The sequence below is a fragment of the Homo sapiens genome, chromosome 2 (genome assembly GCF_000001405.40).
Source record: "Homo sapiens chromosome 2, GRCh38.p14 Primary Assembly".
NCBI lineage: Eukaryota > Metazoa > Chordata > Mammalia > Primates > Hominidae > Homo > Homo sapiens.
This window is the reverse complement of record NC_000002.12, coordinates 6464416-6479098: the sequence shown is the minus strand read 5'-3', so window position 1 is coordinate 6479098 and position 14683 is coordinate 6464416. Positions and strand designations below refer to the sequence as shown.

The following is a 14683-nucleotide window of genomic DNA, read 5'->3' as shown; positions in this document are numbered from 1 at the left end:
TTAAAGGTCTTTCTCCTCCATGAACAGGACTCTGTCATTGAATGAAATCATGTGGGGGTGTCAAAAGCAGCAGAAACGGCCTAATTAGTGGTTAATTTTTTCAAGCAAGAAATAGGAAAACATGGACTGACAACTTAGTGCGTACTAACGAGGTGGAATCAAGAAAGTTACTGCAAGTGGCCGGATGTGGTGGCTCATGCCTGTAAACCCAGCACTTCAGGAGGCCAAGGCGGGTGGATCACTTGAGGTCAGGAGTTCGAGACCAGCCTGGCCAGCATGGTGAAACCCCGTCACTACTAAAACTACAAAAATTAGCTGGGTGTGGTGGTGGGCACCTATAATTCCAGCTACTGGGAGGCTGAGGTAGGAGAATCTCACTTGAACCTGGGAGGTGGAGGTTACAGTGAGCCAAGATTGCACCATTGCACTGCAGCCTGGGCCACAAGAGCGAAAATCCATCTCAAAAAAAAAAAAAAAAAGAAAGAAAGTTACTACAAGCTAGGCTGGTCCCAGGAAAGTTCAGACATTTGTCATTTCTACTGTATGTCTGCAGGCTCAGGTGCTCTCCTGGTGTTGGTGGTTTCAAGCTCAGTTTGTACAATTGGCTTCAATCCATTCCCCTTAACTCCCTGAGCTACAACAGCTCCAAATGCACCAAACATTGAAGTCCCTTTCTCAGTTTTGGCCACATATCACAACTTTGGCTCAGCAAAATGTACCATCATTTGGACTTCCTACTTCTGTAATGGTTTGTGCTTACTGTTTTGATTATCCAGTGTTTAGCTGTTCTTGATAAATATCCTACCAGTTTCACCTGGTCTTGTAAATGAGACCTATGTCTTTACTTTAGAAATAAATAATTGGTTAATAAGCACTCCACTGAATGGGTGCAGGGGCTGAAAGGTCCTGAGGATGCATGTGTAGAGTCAGTGATATTGGTACATTGGCCCAAACAGGACTTAAAGGTCAGAGATGCGCATCCCAAAGCTGTGAGAGTCTTACATGCACCACAATATCATTTTTTTCAGACATGAGATGAGAATGAAATAATACGATATGGATTTTGGACATTGGTGTCATCTAGCTTATTTGACTCGGTAAAGCTATTAGAAAATGAGTTTTTAACACTAACCAGAATAATACAATACTACTTTGAAATGGTACATACTCTAGATGGTAAATATTAGGAGAATAATTTAAGACAGGAAAATCAGCCAAATGAACAGTGCTAAGTTTTAGCTGATATCTCTAAAACCAGGTAATAAAATTTATTACTCTTAAATTTATAATTATGATGTATGGTGTAATGTATAAAACCAGATACTTGATTTGGATTTGTCACTCAGGGTCTTCCTAATTTCTACATTTCATTACACTAAAAAATCTACTAAATTCATACACTATTAACAGGCTATATTGCCAAATTACCTAAAAGTTTAGAATTAAATAATTCACCAAATCCTTACATTAGTAAGACTGATATAAAGATATTTCTTAAAATAAATGGGAGATTTAGAAATTTATTATAATAATGACATATATGAAAACAAGATCTGCAACAAAAACTGAATGCATTTGGATAACTTAGAAAAAATTTATTTATGGACCACAAATATATTTATTGGCTATTCTTTTCACAAAATTGATTACATTTTGAAATAATATCTCTATTTTGATGCTTCCATAAATACAGAACTTAGGATATTAGTTCCATATTTTCTGAAAATATAAAACTTTAATGGTAAATTTTCATCTAGCCTAAAAGAAGTCAAATTCATCATGCTTATTAAGGACTTATTAGTGCCAGTCATTGCACCAGGCCAGTTCCTCTCTAGCTGTGTTTATTTAAGCAAAAGCCCTAGCCTCTCATGCTTTCTCTTCTTATATTTTCTTGTATTTACAATGGGATCGTGATCATGGGCTTGCAATGTGGTGGGGGCCTCCCATGTGAAAAAGAAGAAATTAATGACATATCTGTATTTTTGGTGAGTGGCGCTCTGTTTGATCATAATTAGGACATTTCATTTCCTGAAACCATCCGTGGAGATCCCAAAACATTTCAGAGTGGATGCCTGACACTGCATACCAGGTAGAAGATTCTCTCTCCAAAATCTCCTCTACTTAGCTCCCAGTGCCCCCTTTCTTCTTGTTTCCTGTTGCACCTGAAACCTGCTCCAGGTCCCCTGACTCCCCAGATGCCTCCCCTGGCTCCATCATTACTCAGGTACTGTGCCAACTGTTCCTCGTCCCTGCCTGTCTTTCTCCAGGGCCACTGGGCTTGGCATCTCCCAGGCCCACCTGGTTCCCCTGGGGAGAGGGAGATTGTCCCATCTTCTTTCACATCATGTGCCCCGCTTCTCCTCTCACTCTATCCTTGGCACTGTCGTGTGTGGCTCAGTTTCTCTCAGTCTCCTCCTCAGGTGGAGCCATTCTCGTTGCCTGGTCTCGCAGGGTTCTCTGTCTGGAATCTTCAATCCAGCCTACCTAAACCTCTTTGAATTGGGCGTTTTCTCATTCTTGTCCAACAAATTCCTCCTCTGGGTGGGACTGACAGAGCCCCTTTCTGATGCTGTGCAGTGGGCGCCTGGCTTCTTTGGCTCTTCTCTGTTCCTGCAGGCCATTCTTCTGCCTGCAGGGCACAGGGGGTAGTCTCCCTTGAGCCTGTCAGTCCCACACCTCGCAATCACCAGCCTTGTCTAGAAAAGCCTTTCTTGCTGAATCCTGTCCTGTGATCCCATGCTGGCTTCTGGCACTTACACATAGGGCTTTAATCCTGTCCCTGGAATTTCAAAGCATTCTCCCCTTGTTGCTTAAAGTTGTAAGTTAGTTCTGCTTGTCCTGACTTCTAGATTTCAGGACCCTATTCATGGGCCACACCCTCATCCTACCTGCATCCAGGAAGAGAGACTAGGCAGTGAAGCCTGCCTTTGATTAGACTCAGTACATCAGCTCATCATGGGCAGACGCATTTGGCCCCAGTACTCAAAGAATTATGTCACTCATGGTGGCTAAGACAGCCATGCCATCCAATGTACCTCGAGTGCCTGGTATGCAGACAGTCTGATTCCTCATCAGAGTCCAAATTCAATGACCCTTAGCCTGTCTTTGATCAGTAAACTTAATATTTGTACTTAATCTCTTCAATATCTGAGCCTCATGTTTCCTGGAAAGTACTTCACATAGCTGTCACCAGGGTTTTCATCATCCTGTCTGCATCTCCCAGGTCCTACTCTCGCCCTGAAACTAGCTGTAAGTCCAGCCACAGAGGCTGTGCAACCAGACCCAGCCAGCTAATGGGGTGCTGTCAGGCCCTTGCAAAGTGCAGCTCAGATTTTTGGTGGTGGCAGGTGAGCTGGAGGCTCTCTTAAGAACTCCTAGGACTCCCACGCCCTGGTGGTGCAGGGCTCTTTAAATTCAAACAGAGACTCTCAGAGGATATTGCTGCAGCTTTCCAGTCCATCTGGTTTGAACTGATCCTTTCAGTTCTGATTCAACTGGGCAGATGAAATCTCAGTAGTTTCAATATCCCATATTGGCAGGGCTGACCTGACTGTAGGATGGAGCAAACGTCCCCGTATGGTAGGATTTCAGAGACACTGGAAACAACCAAATGCCTTTCCTGGCTTCACCCCCTACCCACATGTCCATTATGATTTTGTATTTTCTAATTTTGCCTGAAGTTTCACCATAAAAGCTTTAGTCCTTAGGCTGAATGATCAGTGGAAGTGCACACTGAGTCATTATCAGTACTTTATACCCTTGTGAGAATAAAGAACCTGTGGGCATTTCATGTTCTTGTAATTACTCATTCTTCCTTTTCTGCAAAGATTTGATGAAGCTACAATAAAATTCAGTAACAGGGTAAAATAAAGACATTGAAAATGTGGAAAATGATGACAAAAGTAGAAAAGATGAATCTAAATGAAGTAGGTTGGCACCAAAAAAGAGACTTCTGTATGCCACGATTTTATGTTTAAGACTTTTTTTCCAAGATCAGTAGGGTAAGAGAATTTAGACATGTCTATACTGTGGATTGGCATAATGATTTTTATTTGACAGAAGAGGAAATTGAGGCTCTTAGAGCTCCACTGAATTGCCTTGTCATATATTTAGTATATATACAGCTAATATTGAAACCCAGGTCAGTCTGGCTCTAAAATTATCTCTAAACACTATGCCACTTGCTTTGAAACACAGCACTAGAAGTGAAATGTGTTGCCTTTGCAGTTTTGCCTGAGCAAGACTTGGATATAGATATTAAACAAAGGAGAGGTGTGGGCTAAATTTGGGAGATATTTCTAGTTTATATTCTTCAAAGGAAATGTAATCTTCCCCACACAAGTAATGCTTAGGATTAATCTTGCTTCACCAAAAGAAACAGCAGGAGACCAGTAGGAAGGAACACAGGTACATCACATTCCTTTCAGAGCATGGCTCAGAGTGCTGCAGCATTCATCACATTTATGCTGTCTGACTTTTTTTCTTTTTTTCAAATGCCTCATTTAAATGCTGACAGATTGGTTGGCATTGTGAATGTCTTTGATATGTAATCATAAAATGGTACGATGTGTGAAAATGTGGCATGTAAAACTGCTGCTCCTCAGACGAATTTCATGGTAGCATTTGATTGACAATAAGGGCTTGTGCAAAAAGTGATATCTGTTGAGGATGGGGGGTTCCATGTGGTATGTTGTTATTTAGATGATATTTAAAATCCTTTTTGCTCATTGCACTCTAAAAACTGAGAAAGCAGCCGGTGGAAAAGGAGAAACAACCTGTATCCTGGCCAAATTCTTCCTTTCTAAGTGGCTTGTGGGCTTGTGTTGATGATTTTTTTTTCTCTTGATCTCCAAATTAATTTTCATTTTTTGGCAAAAAAAAAAAAAAACCCCACAGTGCCAGATTTTGTACATCTGGGAAAGAAAATAATATGGTTATCTTTTTTTCCCTAACTAGCATATTTCTTTGGTTTTGATGCTAAGACACTGCAATGCACGTGATGGCTTGTCTCAGGACGCAAGGGAAAACCTATAGTGTACTCAGATTTTCTCATTGTCTTTCGTGATTCTTAGTAGCTTGAAACCCTTCCAGAGGAATTCCTGGATGGAAATAGGCAAGTGGCAACAATTTCAGCAGAATATATATATATATATATATATATATATATATATATACACACATATATATATATATATATATATATATATATATACACATATATATATATATATATATATTTTTTTTTTTTTCTGTTGGAAGATTCTAGCAAAATGTTTTGTTTCCTGGAGGGCTTTCTTGGAGAACAGGAGCCTGGTCTGACTGTGCATTTGGCATTCCTGGCTGAACAGGAATCAGTGAGCTGGCCGGTGGCTCAGGTCCTTCTGCAGGCAGGCTTCCCTTGGACAACTGCGGGGGTTTAGGAATTGAAGGCACTACTTGCTATCTTTTGACAGCTCCCTTGGCTGTTTTCTTGACTTACCTGAAAGCAATTGTCATTCACTCCGCTGATGTCTATATAACTAACAACATGCCATCCCCTCAGAAGCAAGAAATGCAAAGGTTCATTTAAAGTAACCAAAAAAAAATGTCATTTTTACAGAAATGTGGAAATGACTCTTGAGTACCCACAAAATTGTCAACTGGGATGTCCCTTGTAAATAAGCTGTTAAACATGTGTTTATCCGTTTGTGTGTGGGTGTTCAGGTTAGTTTTGTATTTTTCCCTGCTCCCTGAAATAGAATTTTAATCACAGCAATGAGATGCATTTTTTTACTTCCATTCATGTGGTAGAGGAGTCATGAAAATGACAAGCTGCACATCTCTGAAATTATTTGACAGATAGACCTTGCATCTTTCCACAAAATATCTGGGGACAAGGTTAGAGAAGGTTAAATCTTCTCCTTCCAGGTGAGAGTAGTCATCGTGTTCTAGCTACCATTTATTGAGTACCAACAAGTGCCAGCCACGTTACACGTGGAATGAATCCTAATCCTCTCGGTAACCACAGGAGATGCTGTTGTCCTGTTCCTTAGGTAAGAAAACTGACGCTCAGCAAGCTTCACTAACTTATCTTAGGTCCGCCATCAACAACTGGCAGAGTCTGGATTTAAGACCATGGTTTCCCGGCCACAAAGCTAGCGGTTGGTGTGAGCCGCCTCCTCTAGCATCGTGCCAAATGGTGCTTTCCTGTGCATCCGAATCACAGCTGCCTGTCAGCAATCCCAAAGCCGGCCACTTCACAGAATTTTTTAATTCATAAGGTATAGGCTCATAGTGCCTCCCTGATTTTAATATCTTGATTAAACAAGAGAACATAGTTTGAGGTGATTCTCCAGGAGAATAAGTTTGATTCTGCTTTAAAGTGCTTTACCATCTCTATTTGGGCTTAATGCTGAAACCATGTGGATCACAGAATTGCAGGGACGCAGTGGTGCACAAATTGTGCAAGTGAGATACAGCTCATGCTGTTTAAATTACTGCTTCTGCAGCTTTGACAATTATAAATACTGGTGCCTTTTTTTGTAGTATTCTACTTTTCTGCGGTAGTTACAACTAACCTTCCCTGAGCTATAGACAATTACTTAATTGTATTAGTCTACTTTATAAGGTGTTAAGAAGACAACTATAGCCAGATGGCTATACCTATTATCTGATAAAAGTAAATAAATTATGAATAAAGCAACTTATAAAAAATGAGATTGAAGTAGCATACTTTCTACCTAAATAGGAAAAATCAAATTCTGTAATATTGGCCTGAAAATATTTACTATATGTATAGTTTAAAGAAAAAGGTTTAAAAAAATATTTTCCAGATAAAATATATAATAATTTGAAGGATTATTTTTAGATTTCTCCCTAGTATTGTGAAATGGAAAACACCTGTGTATTTGTTTAAAACCTACTGAGCCAAAAAGTGGTTTTAGCAAAAATAGCATTAAAACTCCACAAAAGTTACATAATCTATTCTAGACTCATTTTACCTGATTACAAAAGGGGAAGATTAGTACCTATTTCAAAATGATTTTAATAAACGTTAGAGAAAATAATAAAGTGATTAGAAAAATTACATTCAAGATGACATATAAATTCCTATGCAAGTTTGCCCTATCCTACCTAAAACATAAAGCAATTATTAACAAAATATGTTATTATATATGGATATGCACTCATACGTATACAAAAACAACAATAAAGTAATACACATCTTCCTAACTTGGAAAAGAATGGGCACCCCTGATAAGCTAGCTCTGAAGTGCTGCAGTTATGTGGCCCTGAATGTAGAAACAAGAACCAGTCAATGGTGGCCAGGAATTCAACTAAAGTGGATCTACGGGTCTTTCAGATGAATTGCGCCTATATTCAGCTCACTGGTCTAATGAGTGGTGTATGAGTTTTCTCATTTCTAAACCAAGGCTGGAAATAGTTGTTACCACCAGTGTGGCTGTTACTGAGCTCTGGGCTTGGCGGGAAGAGCCACATTCACTGCAACCAGGCTAAGCCACACCCTCACTCAGGTGCCTGAACTGAAATACTGTTTGCAGATGGCTGCCCCGAACTGCACATTAATGTAAATCTAAACTGGAAAACAACCACAAGCCTTGAGACTTCATGGGGAAAGTTGAGATGGGAATGAGAAAGAGAAAGGACTAGTCAACATATTCTTTTAAACAAAAAGTGCACACAGAAAGCTGACAAGAGGAAAAAATACTGCCAAAGGGGAGAATTTACTCTCTGAAAATAGAAATAAGAAAGCAATCTGGAAATGGCTATAAAATAAGAATGGTGAAGATCTTCAAAATAATACTGGAGAGACTGGTATCCCAATAAACACCCGAAGGCATGAGACAACATGCCTCCATGCACAGGAATTAGAAATCATGAGATTAACATAGAGTCATTTGCACAATTCCTGTCCACAATATCAATATGCTACTCATCACTATGACTAGTAATATTAGTAATTATTCTTTCTCTCTTTTTCATTTACTCCTAGTGAAAAGGAAGAGGAAAAAGAAACAGGAACGATACTTCCTGCTTATTTGTTTTAACATATTAAATCATGAAAGACACATGTCAGAAGGACAATTCATTGCATGGCAGCAGGAGAAACTCCCTCTGTGGACCCAAATCCAATGGAATACACATAACTTACAAAACTTATTTTTTTAAGAAAGCACTTTAATATCTTAGAAAATTGTCCTAAGGGCATGTAGCAAAGGAAGAAATGTTTTTGTTTCTGTTTTTTTTTTTTTTTTCAGTAAAATCTACTAAATCTCAGTAAGATCTGTGAAAGTCTCTGGCATTTGAACCATGTCCCACATCCTGCTCCCTCCCTGCACTGCCAGCTCAGTGTGACAGAAGTGCTACTTGAGGTGAGTGAGAACACAAAGATCAGACTCCCTCCTTTCCCCTCTCAGGCCAAAAAGGCCAGGCAGCTTGTATTCCTAGTCCCAGTCTAGTTCCGTGTTGTGGAGGCTAAATTCCTGGCCTGTGCTGCTGAGAGGTCAGGGGTCTCTTCTGCCCAGCCCCTACTCAAAGAGCACATGCCCTACCCTGGCTTGGGTGGCTAGGATTACTGGGATAGCAGCTAAGAAAGGCAAGCAGAGAGGACCAGAGGCAGCAGCCTGCATCCAGCATCCTGCTCTTGTAAAGCAGGAATGCCACTCAGAGAGAAGCAGAATTAAAGAGAGAGGTAGACAATTCAGCAATTATAGTTGGAGACTTCAATAGACCACTTTCAGAAAAGGAAGGTAAAAACTAGACATAAGATTAACAAGGACATCAAAGACTTAAACAAACTAAAACTAAGCATATCTAATAGACGTCTTTAGAACACTTCACCCTAAAAAAACAGAATATACATTCTTTCCAGGAGCACGTGGAAAGTTATTGAGGCTACACTATATACTAGCTCACAAAAAAGCCTCAATATATTTAAAAACATTAAAATAATAAGAGATATGCTCTCCAATTTTAATGAAATAAATTTAGAAATTAGTAGAGGAAATTTTGAAAAAAGTTTCAAATATATGGAAATTAGACTCTTCTAAAAAATGTGTCAGAAAACGAGAAAAATTAGAAAATATTTTGGAACAAAAGACAATGAAAACATAATGTGCCAAAACTCACTGGGTACAGCTAAAACATCACTTAAGAGAAAAATGTTTAGCTGTGATATAGTTCAGATGTTTGTTCCCTCCAAATCCATGTTGAAATGTGATCCCCATAGTTGGAGGTGGGTCCTGGTGGGAGGTCTTTGGGTCATAAGGGCTGATTCCTGATGAATGGCTTGGTGCCCTCCCTGTGGTAATGAGCTCACCCAGGATCTGGTAGTTTAAAAGAATCTGCACCTCTTAATTTCTCTCTTGCTCCCTCTTTAGCCTGGTGCAGCTGCTCCCCCTTCATCTTCTGCCATAATTGTAAGTTCCTTGAGTCTTTCACCAAAAGCAGATGCCAACACCATGCTTGCTGTATAGCCTGCAGAACTGTGAGCCAAAATAAACCTCTTTTTTTATATATAAATTACCCAGCCTCAGGGATATCTTTACAACAACACAAATGGACTAAGATAAGATGTAACTACTTATTACAAAAAAGGAGAAAGATCACAAATCAATAATTTAACATTCCACCCTAAGACACTGGAAAAAGAAGAGCAAATTAAACCTAAGACAAGCAGAAAGAAGGAAACAATAGAGATTAGGGAAGATCTTAATGATATTAAGAATAAACAATTAAAAAATGAACAAAACCAAACATTGGTTTTTTGAAAACATCAGAAAAATTGGCAAAGTTTCAGCTAGATTGACTAAGAAAAAAGAGATTTAAATTAGTAAAGTCAACCCTCCAGAAAAAAAAAATTCTGTGAATAACTGTATGCCAACAAATTATGTATCTTAGATAAAATATACAAATTCCTAGAGAGACACAAACTTCCAAAACTGACTCAAGAAATAGAAAATCTAAATAGAACTATGTCAAGTAAAGAGGCTGAGTTAGTAAATAAGAATTCCTCACAAAGGAAAACCCAAGGATGACTTCACTTGTGAATTCCACCAAACATTCAAAAAGTCCCCAGATTCTGGAGAGGGGTATTCATGAATTCTCTATCCTGGTTCTCAGGGCTAGTCAGGTTAAAGATGTTCAGAATTTTTTTTTAATTAAGAAAAAAGAGAACATAAATCACATAAATCACAAAAGTAGAAAGTGGGTCACTTTAGAGAATGCTGTGTTGTTTTTTTCTTCCCTCTTAGATATGGCTTAGGTTTTTATCATTTACATAAGGGACGCTCTCTACACTGGGGCCTTTCTTGGCCTCTGTCCTTTCAAAGAAATTACTCAAAATTTTTTTCAAGTTTGTAAAACTTTAATTTATTCAATCAATGGAATAAATCTTTATTGGGAACCTTTTGCTTGCCAGCCACTAAGATGAAAAGACAAATTAGATAAGTACCTCAACATAGAAAGCTCACAATTATGTGGGGGAGACAGACTAATAGTGGTCACAATCATGCTACTTTAATAGCAGCTGAAACATATCCAAGGTTCACTGCAGGTGAGGCTCATTGCTGTATATCCATGGTTTTCTTTAACGTTTCCAGCTATTCTGACTTCTCTTATCCTCCCTGGACATGTGAGGAAAAAGAAGCATGAATGCCCCACTGCTATCTGAAGGCCAGACTCCTCCCAGCACACACTTGGTGTCCCATGTCATTACCATGGTATCCCTTGGAAACTTGAGTGTGTAGATAAGCAGCCATGATAACTTTGTTTTTTAGCTCTTACATTTCCTGGTTTTATAGTTTTAAAAATAGGCTTTTGCTCAGAGGAACTCATCTTTTTCCTTTGGACTTCACTCTTTCCTTAATTATCTTAATTAATGTTATTATGATCTGTCACTCATTTTCCAGTATGTGACATGGCTATTCCTCTTATTATATTCAAATATTTGTACCCCTATTAATATTTAGAAGTGCCTTGCAAAGCATATAAAAACATAAAAATATTCAAAACCATATGGTTCAAAAGCCTTAAAAGTGTGTTAGAATCTAACTGGAAATTTGAACCATGCTAGCCAGAAAAAAAAAAAAAAATCCGCTTCTCCTTAATCTTTCCACTTGAAAATTCTGATAACTACAGATTAAGTCTAAAATTAATTATCTGTCATGATTCTCTGGTAACTGTAGTTTTAAAGGCCACTAGAAACAAGGAAGGAGCCAACCTTGCTTCTTGGATATATTAGTCAAACCCATGAATACCCCCGGAATAACATATCATTGAGTTTCTCATGGCCACATTGATCCAGGGGTTTCCAAATATATCTCATGATCAGGCTGAACAGCATCACTAGTGGCATGACAAAAATGTGCATTTTAATACTACACAGCAGTTTTTAAATTTGAATCAGCAGGAGAGTCCCGACTCTCTATATCCTCTTTCTTACCCTAAAGGTTTCTGAAGAGATGCAGATACATAGCTCAGGTTGGGATCCACTGGATAAGGCAAAAATGGTGAGTCTTAACCTCTAGAAAGCCATGATTAAATAAACTCATACCTGGTGAGATGCATTTTTCACCTATCAGTACATCAACTGACTCCAGAATCTTTGTTACTGATGTTCCTTACACAAAAAGTTCTCAAAATGTTGTCCACAGACCACTAGGGAAACCAAAGACACCTGCAGGAGATTCATCAGATCAAAATTAATTTCAAAATACCACGAAGTAATTACTTTTCTTTTTCTCTATGCTGATATTTGCACTGGTTGTACAAAAACAGTAGTGGGCAAATTGCTGGTGCCTTTGCACAGTAAGAACAAACTATACTAATGTTATTGAATTCTATACTACTACACATTCACAGAAAAAAAAGAACCAGTTTTATCAAGAATGTCTTTGATGAAAAGCTATAATTATTCATCTTAATAAGTGTTGACCCTATGACCATATATTTTTAACATTCTGTGTAATGGAATGGAAAGTTTATATAAAGCACTTCTGCTGCATACTAAAACATGATAGCTGTCTCAAGGAAAAATATTTAGGCAATGATTTGAGTTACAAGCTAAACTATCTATATTTTATATGGAACACAATTTTTACTTTAGAAAGCAACTGACAATAGAAAAGTATGGATTATTAAAACAGAAATTAAAACAGAAGCAGTATCCCTGTTCCCCCAAAACAGTTTGAAGTAATAATAATAAACCAGAAGCATTTGGGAGAAATTTTCCCAAAAATAAATTGAGTGAAACTGTCATTTTAAGGACAACAAATTGCAATATTTGTCAAAGATAATAGAATTTGAGCTCCGAAGTAGAAATTAGGATTCTGCATTACAGCTTGAATCTGCCACCACGAGCTTGACAGCTTCCCGATATTTAAAGACTTCTGATGAAATTGATGGTGCCATTAATGCATGTGCTCCTCGACATTGCATAATAACCTAAGCTAACACTTGGAAGATCTGTACAAACCAGTATTTTCCAAATACCTAGTACATGAGACCACAAAATCAAATATGGGCAAAGATGATTACAAAATCAAACATGGGCAAAGATCTATTCAAACTTCAAAATAAGCAAATCTTAATGTAACAAAGTATGAAAAGTTTATTAATATGGTTTCAGATTCTACATTGCAAATAACCATTAAGAAACTATTCTTTGTAAAATATAGGTGTATAAAATATGGGTGTGGTTTTAAAGAAGAATATCTATCTACATCTGAAAATACTATTAAAATGCTTCTTCCTTTGTAAATGTGTGAGTCTGGATTTCCTTTATACTTGAACCAAAATATCCCATGACAAGAAAATAAATGCATGTATGAGAATCCAATACTATTTTATAAAGCTAGACATTACAGATACCTGTAAAATGATAAAAATGCCAATCTTTTCACCATATTTTAATATTTGAAAGACATTTATTTTTAATTAAATATATTATTTATATTTATCAATAATAGGTATATTATTGATTTTTAAGTTAATAAACATTTTTAAAAGTTTTGTAATATGTTTAATTTGTAATTTGATAAATATTGACAGACATTACCCACATAAGCAAAATCTCCTTGGGGGTCCCCAATAACATTTTTAGACTACAAAGTGCTCCTGATACAAAATAAACTTGAGAATCATTCTATGATATTTATTTGTCCTTTGTTTTTCCATCATTATAAAAAGGGAGAATACAGTGAAACTCGTTTTGTGTTTACAGGCATGTTAGATACTGCTCTGAAAACATAAGGCTTAGATTTCCCGGGATGATATTACTTTCATTGTCTTTAAAGATGCATTATCAATACATTGTCAGAGATGTTCTTGTTCCAGCTCCTCCCATAGTAAGGATAAAGGGATGAAATAGGAGGAAATTGAAAGGGAAAATTTGCTGTTCAGATCTATCAAAGTTACTACTTACCACCAGAATATGTGACTTTCATTCTTCTTTACGTATCTTCATGCTGTGTGCCCTGCTTGGACTCTTCTCTGCTTGCATCTCCGCTTGAATAATTCCTCTCATTTTTTTAAGACAAAGCTAAAGAAATCTTCCCTGATGTTGTTGCCTTCTCCTCCCTTGTATGCTGCTTTAACAACAAGTGCATTCCTATTTAATAGCATCGATTCCAGGATACTGTCATTGGAATTATGAGTTTAGTGGTTATAGAGTTCTCAAGTACCAAGGCCAATTTGCAAAAAGATTAGCTATAACTAAATTGAATGTACATCACAATAGACATTTTACTCAGATGCCTAGAATTTAACAAGCATCTCCAGGTAATTTTAATCAATTCAGAGTTTTCCTGTTCAATTCTGGATTTTCTATCTTTCTTTTATGCCCTCTGGTTTGCAGTAAAGCCTGTGTTCAGGATGTGGCAGGGACCTTGTAGGGAAGTGGTTTGATCATCAAGGACTTCCAGCTAGGTTCTGCTAAACCATACAACACGGATGCCACGGTTTAAATAACAAGGGCAAGTTTGTTATAGTGCTGCAGGTCAGAATTGTTATAGAAACTGGCTACAAAATAAGTAGGGTACATAAAAGTAGAAAGTAATATAGTATACAGATACAAGAAAGTGTATATTAGAGTTTAGTTTTGATGAATGAGGGGACTAGCTACAAATTTGGGTTTGTAAACTTAAAATGAAAGAAAACCCCAATTTTGAGATCATGTCAGATACCTAGAGGAAAGCAAACTGTGGTTCTAGTGGTGATTATTTCAGACTCTGCATCTTAGTAATTGCAACTCTGTGAGTATGCAGTATATGAACTTACTGCAATCCACAGAAAATGATTCCTTCTGCAGCCTCTGTCTAATAAAAGGGATAGAACTGACTTTGAAGTGGCGAATCTTGTAATAAATTGAATTCTTCTGCAAGTAGCTTTTGGTCATTTAGAATTCACTTTGAATGTGTCCTATGTATTCTCATAAAATACAGAAACCTGGATGTCACTGTAACCTTAGGGAAAAAAACTGCACACTGAATAAAGTTGTGATTTAGCAATTTTTCTTATTGTTCCACAATCACAGGCACATTCTGCAGAGATAGGCAGTGAATGTCAGACTCACCCATCTCCTTTCAGCTCTTCAATCAGGTAGGCATTTTGGAAAACATCAGTTTTCTAGGAGGGCCCTTCGATAACTCATTCTGTTCTGAAGACACATCCCCAGCTGATATTC

General features: G+C 37.7%; 2 annotated features.

Moving 5' to 3' along the window:
* Positions 1827-1996: an enhancer, noted in NCBI's record as "experimental_58754 CRE fragment used in MPRA reporter constructs". NCBI's record gives its function as "activates a minimal promoter by MPRAs in K562 erythroleukemia cells, with activity observed for both the introgressed and non-introgressed 2:6617320 variant alleles {active_cell/tissue: K562}" and the evidence as "EXISTENCE:reporter gene assay evidence [ECO:0000049][PMID:34662402]".
* Positions 3606-3695: an enhancer, noted in NCBI's record as "active region_15244". NCBI's record gives its function as "activates an Ori minimal core promoter by ATAC-STARR-seq in GM12878 lymphoblastoid cells {active_cell/tissue: GM12878}" and the evidence as "EXISTENCE:reporter gene assay evidence [ECO:0000049][PMID:35858748]".